At 40.9% G+C, this 15,584-nt stretch overlaps 1 protein-coding gene across 1 annotated transcript; it reads right to left on the bottom strand.

Moving 5' to 3' along the window:
• Positions 1 to 13,160: 13,160 nt before the first annotated feature.
• Positions 13,161 to 15,129, bottom strand: DEFB115 (defensin beta 115). Its single transcript, NM_001037730.1, has 2 exons — positions 15,036 to 15,129; positions 13,161 to 13,333 (listed from the first exon to the last, which is right to left on the bottom strand). The coding sequence occupies exons 1-2, from the start codon at positions 15,127 to 15,129 to the stop codon at positions 13,161 to 13,163; spliced, it is 267 nt and encodes an 88-aa protein (NP_001032819.1).
• Positions 15,130 to 15,584: the final 455 nt, after the last annotated feature.

The following is a 15,584-nucleotide window of genomic DNA, read 5'->3' as shown; positions in this document are numbered from 1 at the left end:
CACTGGTGGTGATGGTTATGTGCTTCATGTGGGCTAGTCTTTGGGCCCCAGGTCGGATGCACAGGCACCAGCAGTGGCAGTGTAATGCCCTGAGTGGGATGGTCCTTGGTTACTCAAGCAGAGTGTAAATGCTGGCTGGGCAGTTCCTCCTTGGGCCCCCAGGTGGGCACCCAAGTGCTGGCAATATCTCTAGTTGGGTGAGTGGACTGGTTTCATTTCCTGAGTGGAGTAGTTGGGAGCTGGTGGTTTCTGTAGTGGGTTGGGCAGGTAAGTCTCTGGGCCCTTGGGTGGTATTTATGGTGTTTCATGGCCCCACTGCTGGAGAGGAGTGAGGTTGCTGTTGGTGGCAGCAGGTCCAGGAAGGTTGCTCTCAGGCTCTGGGGAGCTCACACTTTGGTTCTCTATGTCCTTGAGCCAGTATACCGGTTGTGTTGGACCATCTGTTCCCTGGGGTGTGGGATGTTGTGTGGTCTCAGATGCTGGCAGTGTGGTTGTGCCACTGGGCTTAGCCAGCACTATGATGCTGCAGCCCTTTGAGTGGGTGTGGGTGGATATTGGTGAGGTCTCAGGGTTGTGGAGATGCAGGAGCTATTGGTCTCCATGGCGGGATATAGTCTGTTGTTGTATTTGCTCTCAAAATGGCACCATACTATAGCAGCCTGCATTCCAGGGATGGGCCCCTGTGCAAATTCTCTCCCTGGAACAAATGCAGTCACGTGGATTCCAGGCAGCTTTCCAGACTAGGCTCAGGACATGTGAGGGTCTAGGAGCTTTTCTGCAGTTAGAACTTCAGGCATTTCTGGTGGGAGTGTGGACTGATACGTATCTTTCAGTTACCTTTTTCCCAACAATGCGGAGTTCCTCCTGGCTCTGAGCTGATTCAGCTGGCTGCCTTGATTCCTTCTCTATGCTGCCATCTTGAGCTTTTGTGCCTCAGAGTCCCTGTTGCTTCTCTGCTGGATTCCAGCATTCTCTTCTAGACACTTTATTTGATATGTGGTTATCTATTATGTTGGTTCATAGGTAATTGAAGTTTTCTATCATTACCTTTAACGCCCCAAACCACATTTACTTTTGCACCAACCTAATACTGTTTAGTCCTTCTCTGTAAAAGTGGTAAGTTCTGGATGCTTCTAGTCAGCCATCATGATCTATATTTACCAGTGGGTTTTGTACTTTCAAACATTATAGTCTTACTAAGTAGCATCCTTTTATTTCATTAGAAATAATTCCCTTTAGTCTTTCTTGTAAGGCAAGCCTTGTGCTGATAAACTCCCTCAGCTTTTCTGTGTCTAGGAAAGCTTTATCTTTCCTTCATTTGTGGAGTGCAGATTTCCTGCATAAAGTATTCTTGGTTGGCAGTTTTTTTTCTTCAACACTTTGGATATATCATTGCATTCTCCTGGTCTGTAAGGTTTTTACTGAGAAATCTGTTGCTAGCCTTATTGGAACTCCATTACAAGTTATTTGCATATTTTCTCTCGCTGCTTTCAAGATGCTCCCTTTGTCTTTGATTTTTGACTGTTGAGTGTATGTCTTCATGTAGTCTTTTTGAGTTTAATCTGATTCAAAACCTTTAACCTTCTTGTATCTGTATATTTATATCTTTTTCCAGATTTGGGAAGTTTTTTACTCTTATTTCTTTAAATAAGCTTTCTACTCCTTTGGCTCTCTCTTCTTCTTCAGAAACTTATAATTTGAATATTTGTTCTTTTGGTGCTGTCTCATAAATCCTGTAATGTTTTTTCATTCTTTTTGTTTATTTTTCTCATTTGACTGTATGTTTTCAATTTTACAGATTCTTTCTTCTGTTTGATCAATTTTGCTGTTGATGCTTTTTATTGTATTTTTTATTTATTCATTGTGTATTTCAGCTCTATAATTTAAAACAATTTCAATTTCTATTAAATTTCTCATTTTGTCATTTATTGTTTTCCTGATTTTACTGAATTGCTTCTCTGTATTTTCTTGGAGTCTGCTGAGCTGCTTTATTTATTTACTTATTATTTTTATTTTTTTTTTGAGACAGTCTCACTTTATCACCCAAGCTGGAGTACAGTGGTACGATCTCAGCTCACTGCAAACTCCACCTTCCAGGTTCAAGAAATTCTCCTGCCTCAGCCTGCCAAGTAGCTGGGACTACAGGTGTCTGCCACCACACCCAGCTGAGTTTTGTATTTTTAGTAGAGACAGGGCTTCACCATGTTGGCCAGGCTGGTCTTGAACTCCTGACCTCAGGTGATCCACCCACCTCGGCCTCCCAAAGTGCTGGGATTACAGGCATGAGCTACCGCACCCAGCCTGCTTAGCTTCTTTAAAACAATTATTTTGATTTCTTTGTCACACAGTTTGTATATTTCCATTTCTTTAGGGGACCAGGTACTAGGAAATTATCATATTCTTTGTTATTATGTGTCCTTGGTTTTTAAATGTTTCTTATGTTAATATCATCATATTTGATGGAGCAATCACCTTTTTCAGACTTTACAGGTTAATTCTGGTGTGGAAAGACCTGCCTCTATGGAGGGAGGGGAGTGCAAGGGTGCTTTCTGAGTGAAGGGTAACTGTTCTGGCATCACTGAAGGTACAGTGGTATAATGTCTGTGCAGCTCTGTCAACTGATGCTGGTGTTGATTAAAATTGCAGGAATCCTTAGTGACCAATACTGTGGATGCCAGCAGTGGCAGTGAGGATTGCTGAGGTCTTTGATGGTGTTGGCTGCTAAGGTCTTCTGTATCTCTTTTTCTCCCGCTAGGGAAATTGTGGCTGCATGAATCCCTCTTGACACTGAACCTGTCTTGTGGCTTGCTTGTAGTGCTGGTGGCACTGGTGTTTGATGAGTGGCACCCATGGAGTGGCCATGTTGCTGAGGCCTGCAGCACAGGTATGTTTGGAGAGACTATGGCTCTGGGATCTGGAGTGGTAATGACACTGGCACCAAGGGCACAGGCACCCCAACTGCCTCATTAGTAACAATCTAAAGTGTGATACTTGTGAAGCAGTCAGGGGATCAAGAAGGAGAGCATAGGCAGGGTTACAGGGGCTCTGGGCTTGCAGTGGAGCTAGCTGTCTATGGCAGTTGAACTGGTGTCTGGAGAGAACATAGCTTCGGGGCCTGGAGTACAAACTAGCTTGCTATAGTGATGATTTCAGGGTCTGAGATGTGTGTGTGTGAGGTGCAGCCCCAGAGCCCAAATTCTCATGGGGATTAGTGCACATGGGGATTGACAGTGATGGTGGCTTCTTTCCCAAAGCAGTTCAGCAGTAGTGCTTCTTGGAGGAAGGAGGGTTGTGCAGCTGCATCTCTCAAAGGTTCCCCAGTGGGAATGACTATTGTTAACCTTTGTGGCAAATGATGCTGTTGTCTTCTTCAGAGTAGGCCACTGGGACCATAGTGGTTTACACTGCATAACTGACACTCTGCCTTTCTTCTTTGTTTCTAACTGTCTCCTATAGTCTCAGATATGCTGACCTCACTAGCAATCCTTTCTTTGTGGATGTTCTCCATTTTGTTTGTTTGTTTTTGGTCCACTGTGTTGCTACAGATTTTTAAATGTTTAATGGGCCCTTGAGCTGTCTCAGGGCTGTTTTGATTTTGAGGATAGCTAGCTGGATAGATAGAGAAAGAGAGAAAGAGAGAGAGATCTTTTTTGGTAGGGTATGAAGGCTGGTATCTCCTATTCTTATTCTTTTTTTTTTCCATAGGTTATTGGAGTACAGGTGGTATTTGGTTCCATGAGTAAGTTCTTTAGTGGTGTTTTGTGAGATTTTGGTGCACCAGCCACCCGAGCAGTATACCCTGTACTTTATTTGTAGTGTTTTATCCCTCGCCCCCTTCTCACTCTTCCCCTTAAGTCCCCACATTTCATTGTATCTCCTATTCTTATTCTTATAAACACAATAACTTATTTACATATGTTACATGTAAAGAACATGGTAACATAGTAAATGGTTGTGTACTTTATCTTATTTTGACCTTACAATATACTGAGAAAGGTAGTATTAAATAATATCCACTTTATGGAAAAGGAATCTGATGCTCAGAAAGTTTTGATGTCCTCCCCAAAAGAGTGGCAGAACAGGGAAGTGGAATAAACTTTTCTGGCTCCAGGGGATCATTCCATGATGATCAAATAGGAACAGATCCAGTCTACAGGTCCCAGTGTGAGCGACACAGAAGACAGGTGATTTCTGCATTTCCAACTCAGTTTTGAAGAGAGCAGTGGTTCTCCCAGCATCGAGTTTGAGATCTGAGAACAGACAGACTGCCCCCTCAAGTGTGTCCCTGACCCCCGAGTAGCCTAACTGGGAGACACCTACCAGTAGGGGCCGACTGACACCTCATACAGCCGGGTGCCCCTCTGAGACGAAGCTTCCAGAGGAAGGATCAGGCAGCAACGTTTGCTGTTCTGCAATATTTGCTGTTTTGCAGCCACCACTGGTGACACCTAGGCAAACAGGGTCTGGAGTGGACCTCCAGCAAACTCTAACAGACCTGCAGCTGAGGGTCCTGACTGTTAAGAAGGAAAACTAACAAACGGAAAGGAATAGTATCAACATCAACAAAAGGACATGCATACCAAAACCCCATCTGTACGTCACCATCATCAAAGACCAAAGGTAGATAAAACCACAATGATGGGGAGAAACCAGAGCAGAAAAACTGAAAATTCTAAAAACCAGAGCGCCTCTTCTCTTCCAAAGGATTGCAGCTCCTCACCAGCAATGGAACAAAGCTGGATGGAGAATGACTGATGAGCTGATAGAAGTAGGCTTCAGAAGATTGGTAATAACAAACTTCTCCGAGCTAAAGGAGGATGTTCGAACCCATCTTAAGGAAGCTAAAAACCTTGAAAAAAGATTAGATGAATGGCTAACTAGAATAAACAGTATAGAGAAGACCTTAAATGATCTGATGGAGCTGAAAACCATGGCACGAGAACTACGTGACGCATGCACAAGCTTCAGTAGCCAATTCGATCAAGTGGAAGAAAGGGTATCAGTGATTGAAGATCAAATGAATGAAATGAAGCGAGAAGAGAAGTTTAGAGAAAAAAGAGTAAAAAGAAACGAACAAAGCCTCCAAGAAATATGAGACTATGTGAAAAGACCAAATCTACATTTCACTGGTGTACCTGAAAGTTACAGGGAGAATGGAACCAAGTTGGAAAACACTCTGCTGGATATTATCCAGGAGAACTGCCCCAACCTAGCAAGGCAGGCCAACATTCAAATTCAGGAAATGCAGAGAACACCGGAAAGACACTCTTCGAGAAGAGCAACCCCAAGACACATAATTGTCAGATTCACCAAGGCTGAAATGCAGGAAAAAATGTTAAGGGCAGCCAGAGAGAAAGGTCGGGTTACCCACAAAGGGAAGCCCATCAGACTAACAGCTGATCTCTCAGCAGAAACTCTACAAGCCAGAAGAGAGTGGGGCCAATATTCAACATTCTTAAAGAAAGAATTTTCAACCAGAATTTCATATCCAGCCAAACTAAAGCATAAGTGAAGGAGAAATAAAATCCTTTACAGACAAGCAAATGCTGAGTGATTTTGTCACCACCAGGCCTGCCTCACAGGAGCTCCTGAAGGAAGCAATAAACATGGAAAGGAACAACCAGTACCAGCCACTGCAAAAACATGCCAAATTGTAAAAACCATCGATACTAGGAAGAAACTGCATCAACTAATGAGCAAAATAACCAGCTAACATCATAACAACAGGATCAAATTCACACATAACAATATTAACCTTAAATGTAAATGGGCTAAATGCTCCAATTAAAAGACACAGACTGGCAAGTTGGATAAAGAGTCAAGACCCATCAGCGTGCTGTATTCAGGAGACCCATCTCACGTGCAGAGACACAGATAGACTCAAAGGGATGGAGGAAGATCTACCAAGCAAACGGAAAACAAAAAAAAGCAGGGTTTGCAATCCTAGTTTCTGATAAAACAGACTTTAAACCAACAAATATCAAAAGAGACAAAGAAGGCCATTACATAATGGTAAAGGGATCAATTCAACAAGAAGGGCTAACTATCCTAAATATATATGCACCCAATACAGGAGCACCCAGATTCATAAAGCAAGTTCTTAGAGACCTACAAAGAGACTTAGACTCCCACACAATAATAATGGGAGACTTTAACACCCCACTGTCAACATTAGACAGATCAACAAAACAGAAAGTTAACAAGGATATCCAGGACTTGAACCCAGCTCTGTACCAAGCAGACCTAATAGACATCTACAGAACTCTCCACCCCAAGTCAACAGAATATACATTCTTCTCAGCACCACATCGCACTTGTTCCAAAATTGACCACATAGTTGGAAGTAAGGCACTCCTCAGCAAATGTAAAAAAACAGAAATCATAACAAACTGTCTCTCAGACCACAGTGCAATCAAATTAGAACTCAGGATTAAGAAACTCACTCAAAACTGCACAACTACATAGAAACTGAGCAACTTGCTCCTGAATGACTACTGGGTAAATAATGAAATGAAGGCAGAAATAAAGATGTTCTTTGAAACCAATGCAAACAAAAACATAATATACCAGAATCTCTGGGACACATTTAAAGCAGTGTGTAGAGGGAAATTTGTAGCACTAGATGCCCACAAGGGGAAGCAGGAAAGATCTAAAATCGACACCCTAATATCACAATTAAAAGAACTAGAGAAGCAAGAGCCAACATATTCAAAGGCTAGCCGAAGGCAAGAAATAACTAAGATCAGAGCAGAACTGAAGGAGATAGAGGCACAAAAACTCTTCAAAAAAATCAATGAATCCTGGAGCTGGTTTTTTGAAAAGATCAACAAAATTGATAGACCGCTAGCAAGACTAATAAAGAAGAAAAGAGAGAAGAATCAAATAGACACAATAAAAAATGATAAAGAGGATATCACCACCGATCCCACAGAAATACAAACTACCATCAGAGAATACTATAAACCCCTCTATGCAAATAAACTGTAAAATCTAGAAGAAATGGATAAATCCCTGGACACATACACCATCCCAAGACTAAACCAGGAAGAAGTTGAATCCCTGAGTAGACCAATAACAGGCTCTGAAATTCAGGAATAATTAATAGCCTACCAACCAAAAAAAGTCCAGGACCAGATGGATTCACAGCTGAATTCTACCAGAGGTACAAAGAGGAGCTGGTACCATTCCTTCTGAAACTATTCCAATAAAAAGAAAAAGAAGGAATCATCCCTAACTCATTTTATGAGGCCAGCATCATCCTAATACCAAAGCCTGGCAGAAACACAACAAGAAAAAAAGAGAATTTTAGACCAATATCCTTGATGAACATTGATGCCAAAATCCTCAATAAAATACTGGCAAACCAAATCCAGCAGCACATCAAAAAGCTTATCCACCACGATCAAGTTGGCTTCATCCCTAGGATGCAAGGCTGGTTCAACATATGCAAATCAATAAACGTAATCCATCACATAAACAGAGTCAAAGACAAAAAAACACATGATTATCTGAATAGATGCAGAAAAGGCCTTTGACAAAATTCAACAGCCCTTCATGCTAAAAACTGTCAATAAACTAGGTATTGATGGGATGTATAATAAGAGCCATTTATGACAAACCCACAGCCAATATCATACTGAATGGGCAAAAACTGGAAGCATTCCCTTTGAAAACTGGCACAAGACAGGGATGCCCTCTCTCACCACTCCTATTCAACATAGTGTTGGAAGTTCTGGCCAGGTCAATCAGGCAGGAGAAAGAAATAAAGGATATTCAATTAGGAAAAGAGGAAGTCAAATTGTCCCTGTTTGCAGATGACATGATTGTATATTTGGAAAACACCATCATCTCAGCCCAAAATCCCCTTAAGCTGATAAGCAACTTCAGCAAAGTCTCAGGATACAAAATCAATGTGCAAAAATCACAAGCATTCTTATACACCAATAACAGACAGAGAGCCAAATCATAAGTGAACTCCCAATCACAATTGCTTCAAAGAGAATAAAATACCTAGGAATCCAACTTACAAGGGATGTGAAGGACCTCTTCAAGCAGAACTACAAACCACTGCTCAAAAAATAAAAGAGGACACAAACAAATGGAAGAACATTCCATGCTCATGGACAGGAAGAATCAATATCGTGAAAATGGCCATACTGCCCAAGGTAATTTATAGATCCAGTGCCATCCCCATCAAGCTACCAATGACTGTCTTCACAGAATTGGAAAAAAGTACTTTAAAGTTCATATGGAACCAAAAAAGAGCCCACATTGCCAAGACAATCCTAAGCCAAAAGAACAAAACTGGAGGCATCATGCTACTTGACTTCAAACTATACTACAAGGCTACAGTAACCAAAACAGCATGGTACTGGTACCAAAACAGAGACATAGACCAATGGAACAGAACAGAGCCCTCAGAAATAATACCACACATCTGCAACCATCTGATCTTTGACAAACCTGACAAAAACAGGAAATGGGGAAAGGATTCCCTATTTAATAAATGGTGCCGGGAAAACTGGCTAGCCATATGTAGAAAGCTGAAACTGGATCCCTTCCTTACACCTTATACAAAAATTAATTCAAGATGGATTAAAGACTTAAATGTTAGATCTAAAACCATAAAAACCATAGAAGAAAACCTAGGCAATACCATTCAGGACATAGTCATGGGCAAGGACTTCATGGCTAAAACACCGAAAACAATGGCAACAGAAGCCAAAATAGACAAATGGGATCTAATTAAACTAAGAGCTTCTGCACAGCAAAAGAAACTACCATCAGAGTGAACAGGCAACCTACAGAATGGGAGAAAATTTTTGCAATCTACCCATCTGACAAAGGGCTAATATCTAGAATCTACAAAGAACTTAAACAAATGTACAAGAAAAAATCAAACAACCCCATCAAAAAGTGGGCGAAGGATATGAACAGACACTTCTCAAAAGAAGACATTTATGCAGCCAAAAAACACATGAAAAAAGGCTCATCATCACTGGCCATCAGAGAAATACAAATCAAAACCACAATGAGATACCATCTCACACCAGTTAGAATGGTAATCATTAAAAAGTCAGGAAACAACAGGTGCTGGAGAGGATGTGGAGAAACAGGAACACTTTTACACTGTTGGGGGGACTGTAAACTAGTTCAACCATTGTAGAAGGTAGTGTGGCGATTCTTCAGGGATCTAGAACTAGAAATACCATTTGACCCAGCCATCCCATTACTGGGTATATACCCAAAGGATTATAAATCATGCTACTATAAAGACACATGCACACCTATGTTTATTGCGGCACTATTCACAACAGCAGAGACTTGGAACCAACCCAAATGTCCATCAATGATAGACTGTATTAAGAAAATGTGGTACATATACACCGTGGAATACTATGCAGCCATAAAAAAGGATGAGTTCATGTCCTTTATAGGGACATAGATGAAGGTGGAAACCATCATTCTCAGCAAACTATTGCAAGGACAGAAAACCAAACATTGCATGTTCTCACTCATAGGTGGGAATTGAACAATAAGAACACTTGGACACAGGGTAGGGAATATCACACACCGGGGCCTGTCATGGGGTGGGGGGAGGGGGGAGGGATAGCATTAGGAGAAATACCTAATGTAAATGACCAGTTAATGGGTGCAGCACAGCAACATGGCACATGTATACATATGTAACAAAACTGCACGTTGTGTACATGTACCCTGTAACTTAAAGTGTAATAATAAAAAAAAGTTTCTGGCTCCAAAGAATAGGCTCTTAAGTACAACCACATATTGCATCTAAAAACTTACTGGATAAGTATGAGTTTTATGAGATATTCAATGCTAGAGAGTTAATGCTTCTGAAATGAGTATAAGCTGGTTCTATATGTAGAAGGCATGGCTACACCGACAAAAGATCAAGAGGTAGACAATGCCTTATCAAAACTAGAAGCTAACTTTGAATCAGTTTGCTTTATGATTGAATTGTAGCAACTAAATTCTACTATATCAGCCTACCAAGGGAAAGGGTGGACCCTCTCTGGATGAAGATAATATCATTGGAAGCTCTACAATATTTTATACAATGTGTCTGGAAATCAACAAAATATTAGTTGTCCATTAACCTCTGTTCAACCTTTTATGCTATTATTGTTATGCATATTAATTATATAAATATTATAATGCCCTAAGATATTATTTATTATTATAATTGTTTTTTATAGTCAATATTCATTTAGATGTACCAAACAGTTATCACTTATAATATTCTTTATAAGTGGAGTTTTTTGGCCAAAATGAAAATAATTCTAGTTAGAAGCATGAAAATAAAAAAAATACTTTACTGTAGGTTTGCCTTTTTAAAATGTAGCAAAATCACAGTTATTTGCAAAAATATTCTAGGTTCCAATCAGTTTTTCTCTGGGCTTTTCCTTACGCTTTGTTAGTTAAGAAGTGTTTTAAAAAATTACTTCTTATATCATCATTCTTGTCAATTTTCTTTTTAATTTTCAACTAATGTAATTCTTACTGATCCTCATTTATTAATGACTTTGCATATTAACAGTTTAATTTTATAACATGACTATCAATATCTAGAGAAAATCCCGCATATTCAAGAAGGTTTAAATGTCACTTGACGACAATTTGCCATGCATTTTTGCATGTTCACAATTAGTCCATGGAAGACATTGACCTGCTGGGTTTGGGAGAGGCACAGATTCTAAGAAATTGGGATGTTTGAGTGGAGACTTATTTCACCAATGAGTTTTTAAATTAATAAATATTCTTAGGATGACTTTTCTTCCCCACTTAACCTCTTTTCAGAAGGGGATGGAGTAATCTGGTTTGCAATAAGAAACTTTCAGGCAGAAGGGGCAGTCTATAAAAAGAAGGGCAAGAAATTAGATTAATTAATTTCCAAGAATAAGGTTGTTTTGGGAGGTCCACGGTGGGAATTGAAAGGGAGGAGGAACTGGATATAAAACTACTGAGGCAGGCAGGGATTATCATAAAGGGAGTTGAGAATTGATTCCTGAAAGGGTTATGTAGCTTTTGGACAATTTGGAAAGAAAAAAGTTTCATATTTGGATTGTAGAGATGTTCTTCTGGCAACTGTATGAAAAGCCTGGAGTGAGTCGAAGTCCTAATGAGAGAAAAAGAGATGACTAGGATGCTGATGTTATGGTATGTCTGTATCAGTCTGCCAGGGCTGTCACAACAAAGTGTCGCAGATCAGGTGGCTTAAACAATACAAATTTATTTTCTCACAATTCAGGAGGCTAAAAATCTGAGATCAAGGTGTCAGTAGGGTTGATTTCTTCTGAGTCTTCTCTCTTTGACTTGTAGATGGTCATGATCTCCTTGGATCTTAACGTGGTCTTCTTGCTGTGGGTCATAATTATTTGTAAAATAATTCTGTCCTAATTTCTTCTTATAAGAACAGTAGTCCGATCGAATTTGTATCTGTCCTAATGACTTCATTTAAACTCAGTCACCTCTTTCAAGACTCTGTCTCCAAATGCAGTCACATTTTGAAGCACTGGAGGTTCTGACTTCAACACACAATTTTTGGGGGGGTGGGGCACAAAATTCATTCCACAGCAATGGACAAGGAAAGATGATGGCTGAACTGGAAGACTAGAGGCAGAGATGAAGGGCAGGTGCTATAGAAGCAGACTTGGAAAGTCTGCGTGGCTAACATGATATATGCGTATGGGGAAGCAAGGAGGAACAGAAGGTGTATTTTAGGGTTATGGTTTGAGTACCCAGATTGAGGTATACATTTCCTATTTCCCAGTCTCTCTCTTCATCTTCCATGTCTTTGCTCTCTAAGGTGGCATCTTCTGCAGTCATAGGTAGAGAGTGCATGATTTTCACCATAATGTAAAGAATGAAGAAGGCCTTAAAGGTTGAAAGGTATATGGAGTTTATAGTCCAGACCAATGCTTCCATTTTGAAGATGCCTCATAGTATTCTAGTGGGGGGAAATGAGAGAACTGACAGGAAGTACTTTGGGAACTGGGCTGAAGGGTTAGTGGCTGCCATTACTGTGATGATTGCTGTACCTTGCCTTTGGACTGTGTCCTCCAGATCGTTGTGTCAACAGAAGGTATGGATACTGTTCAACTTCAGATGTGATTGGCATTGGCCCCTGAGCTGCAACTCTCTGTAAAGCCGGAGCCATTTCTCGCTAGCCGAGTGCAACCTAGGATAACCTTTATTTGAACCTGGATGAACCTGCTGGGACTGGGTTCATTACACATTTTAACCACAAGAGGGCACACAAAGCTCTTTCTTCACCACACCTTCCCTATTAAAGAGGTTGGTTCTGTGTGGGAAGGGTAAAGTGAAGCTTTTCGTAATGCAGCAATCTCTTTCCACTATGGGGAAGCACGGTACCTGAAGCCAGGCATTGCAGGTTCAAAGTCCTGTTACTGAACTAGCTATCTGTGCCATTTAGGGCAAGTCACTTAAACTCTCTGTGACTTAGTTTCCTCTTCTGGCGAAGGGGCACACTAGTTCCTATCTCCTGGAGCTGTTGTTGGGACAAAATGAAGTAAAATGCTTAGGACAAGACCTTGCACATAATAAGTTCTCACTAAATCTTGGGCCTTTTATTTTCCTCTTCCATTTGCTTGGGAGCAGGAATAGTTTCCTCCTGCTCAGAGGGCATGCCAATCTTTGGACAGCCAAAGGTGCCTAGGAATTTGGGGTAAGGGATAAGTTCCAAGAGTAAGACCATATGGCAGAGCCTTGAGCTAAATTTTGAGCTAAAGACAGAGAAGGACACTTTCTGGATTACTCTGTTTTATTGCAACTCTCCAGGATGAGACATTAGGTAAGAATCTGTAGCTAAGGTCCAATTTGCGTTAACCTGGTAAACTTCTACATTCAGGGACCCGGACAGAGGTTTAGGAATTCAAGATCTAGATCCTATAAAATTTTCTTACCTTGAAAACCACTATTATTAGTCATATCCAGGGACAGCTTAGAGCATTGTTGGGCTACAGCAGGCTAGAGAGATATATTGATAGCAGGAATGAGCTTGTTTTTCTAACGGGCCCTGTGAAGACTTGACAGAGATCTAGGAAAATGCAGGTGCCCCCGATAGCCATTTCATTGACTCATTATAATGACTTAAAATTCTGAATTAGGAGTCGCAACTAGATATATAGCTCACTTGTCTCTTTTTGGTCGTGAATGTGTGATAGTTTATCCTTTTCTTTAGGGACACAGCAAATATGTTTTTCCCCACATTTTTCTTTCTTCCTCTCAATTTCTTTGCATGATTTCCTGCATCTGCCAGTTCCATAATAGCACCTTCTGATCCATCCATCTATCAAAATAAGCAAACACATGAATATATAAATACATTTGAAAAATAAATACAATTAAAGAAAGGATGTTGGTAATAGTAATAATGGTTAGAGTGAAACATTGATTTTGACACTTAAAGGCATTCATGGGAATGTTATAAATTTGTGCATGTTTAATGACTAGGAGTAGTTATCTTCCTCTAATCAGCTCTAATTGAATTTTATTCCTATGCTTATGATACTTTCTTCTCTGTCATTTTTCACAGTCTCACTAAATCTGGTTCTACTTCCTCTCTAAATCTAGATGCTTGCCAGGGAGTGGGACTAAGCCTTCAATTATCTTTTTTATCCTCTCTCCATTCATTATTCATCTAACCACAATTTGTTGAGCATCTACTATGTGCCAGGCATTGTTTGTTCTAGGGGTGCTTGCCCCAGGGGTTGTTTAAAGCAAGACCCTGAACAATGGATGACCAATTTACATTTCTGAGCTGCAGGCTGAAGTTGTGTTTGTGTGTGTGTGTGTTGGGGGGTGGGTGCAGGGAGGGTTTAACACTGTGCCCTTCTCTGATTTATTTTCTGTGACTCTAAGTCAACGCAGACTGCAAACCCAGTTTTCTCAGCACATTGGATTCATTTGAGGGATCATTATATCTTAATCTAAACTACAGATTCTTTCCACTTGTCTTTTCCCCAAACTCTTCTTCTGGGAGATAATTCCTAATTCTCTGTCTTTTACCAGAATGTTCAGGCTGAAAAAAATCAGTCACATTGACTCTCACTTTTCTCTTCCAGTATTTCATAAGTCAATATGTAGATTCTTTCTCCAAAATGTCTCTTGCATCTGCAACTCCCTCTATTCTACTTGCCCTCGCTGGAACATAAGGCATGCTCAAGCCAACTCAGGGTTAGCCCAGAATAACCTTCTTTTGCTTCTAGAACAACTGAGTGATTGGCAAAGGCTTTCAGCTTGAATAGCTGCTCCAAGAGAGGATGTGACTTCCAACAGCAACGACCCAAAGGAAATCACAGAATTAAAAATCATCAACTTTAGAGCCCCTGGGAAGCCTAAGGGGAAAACATTTCCATTAGAAAGTTATTCACCACCTGGCCATGATGCCTGTTTATACTGTTAGAGAGCTTTGAGCGTGTTCAACTTGAAAGCCAAAATCTTCTGCTGTAACCCCAGCTCCATACTGTGAGCCTGTTTTTATAAACCTGTAGATATCAAACATCAACTTACAACTTTTTCACCATATATTCCAAGACAAGAGCAAGTTGCCTCTTCTGCCTGCTTTAAAGGAGCACTCAAAGCCCAACAACAGTGGAGAAGTGAAGTAATGAGACTGATTATTAGAAGAGGTAGTATCAACTGAAAGTGGGGTTGAAGTGAGAGACTCACAGGATGAGACTGTTGACATATGGGCCAGAGGCATTCAGGATACTAGAGATGTTGGGGTTGCTTCTGCATATGGAAGGGACTTCATATAAAACACCTTGGCCTCTGCAGATATTCTCCAGGTTCCCTAATGAGAACCACCACCATGGTCAGGCCTGACAGGCTGCCCTTCTTATGGGAGCATATTCATTATAAGCCTTTCATCAGATCTCAGCCATCCCTGTGGGCTCTCCTTGCTTCTACACATGTTCAATTTTCCAGTGATTCTGTGGTTAGGACCCCATCCTTACTCCCTTTTCCCTTCTCTCCATGGTTCTGTTTACCTGGGGCAGTCTGAGCCAGGACCACAAGGACAACTAAGGCCAGGACAGAGAGTTTAATGTCTCCTGAGAGGGGTGAGAAATGATCTGGCAGCATTCTGAGTGTGCTGGGGAAGCTGGGTGTGCACTCAGCATTTTATTGACCTAGGCAAGGCTGACTCACAGACAAAAAATTAGAGAAGGGCAGAATGTTACACCACCCAGAACATCAGCCTGCCACTCAGCAGTATAAACTGATTATCCGGTGTTCAGGGTCCTGCTCTAGATATCCTTGGGGATGGTGAAAGGCACGAGCAGAGGAGGTACAAGTCCTCTCCAAGGCTGTTGCACTGGCCAGAGAACAGATCCCTTCTCCAAGAAGCCTTTCCTGTCCCTCTCCTTCAGAATTTATCCCCCTCCCCTACATTCTCACAGCTGCTGTTTTCTTTTTCTCTGTGTGTTTATCATGACACACTGGAACTAAGTGTTTTTCTAGTTCCTCCTCCCATTCAGAATGATACCCTAAGGGAAACTTTTAATAGACAGTGAGACCCCTGAGGTTAGGAACAGGCT

Source organism: Homo sapiens, chromosome 20, assembly GCF_000001405.40.
Source record: "Homo sapiens chromosome 20, GRCh38.p14 Primary Assembly".
NCBI lineage: Eukaryota > Metazoa > Chordata > Mammalia > Primates > Hominidae > Homo > Homo sapiens.
Note: the sequence above shows the minus strand (reverse complement) of the source record. Positions and strands in the feature narration are given on the sequence as shown.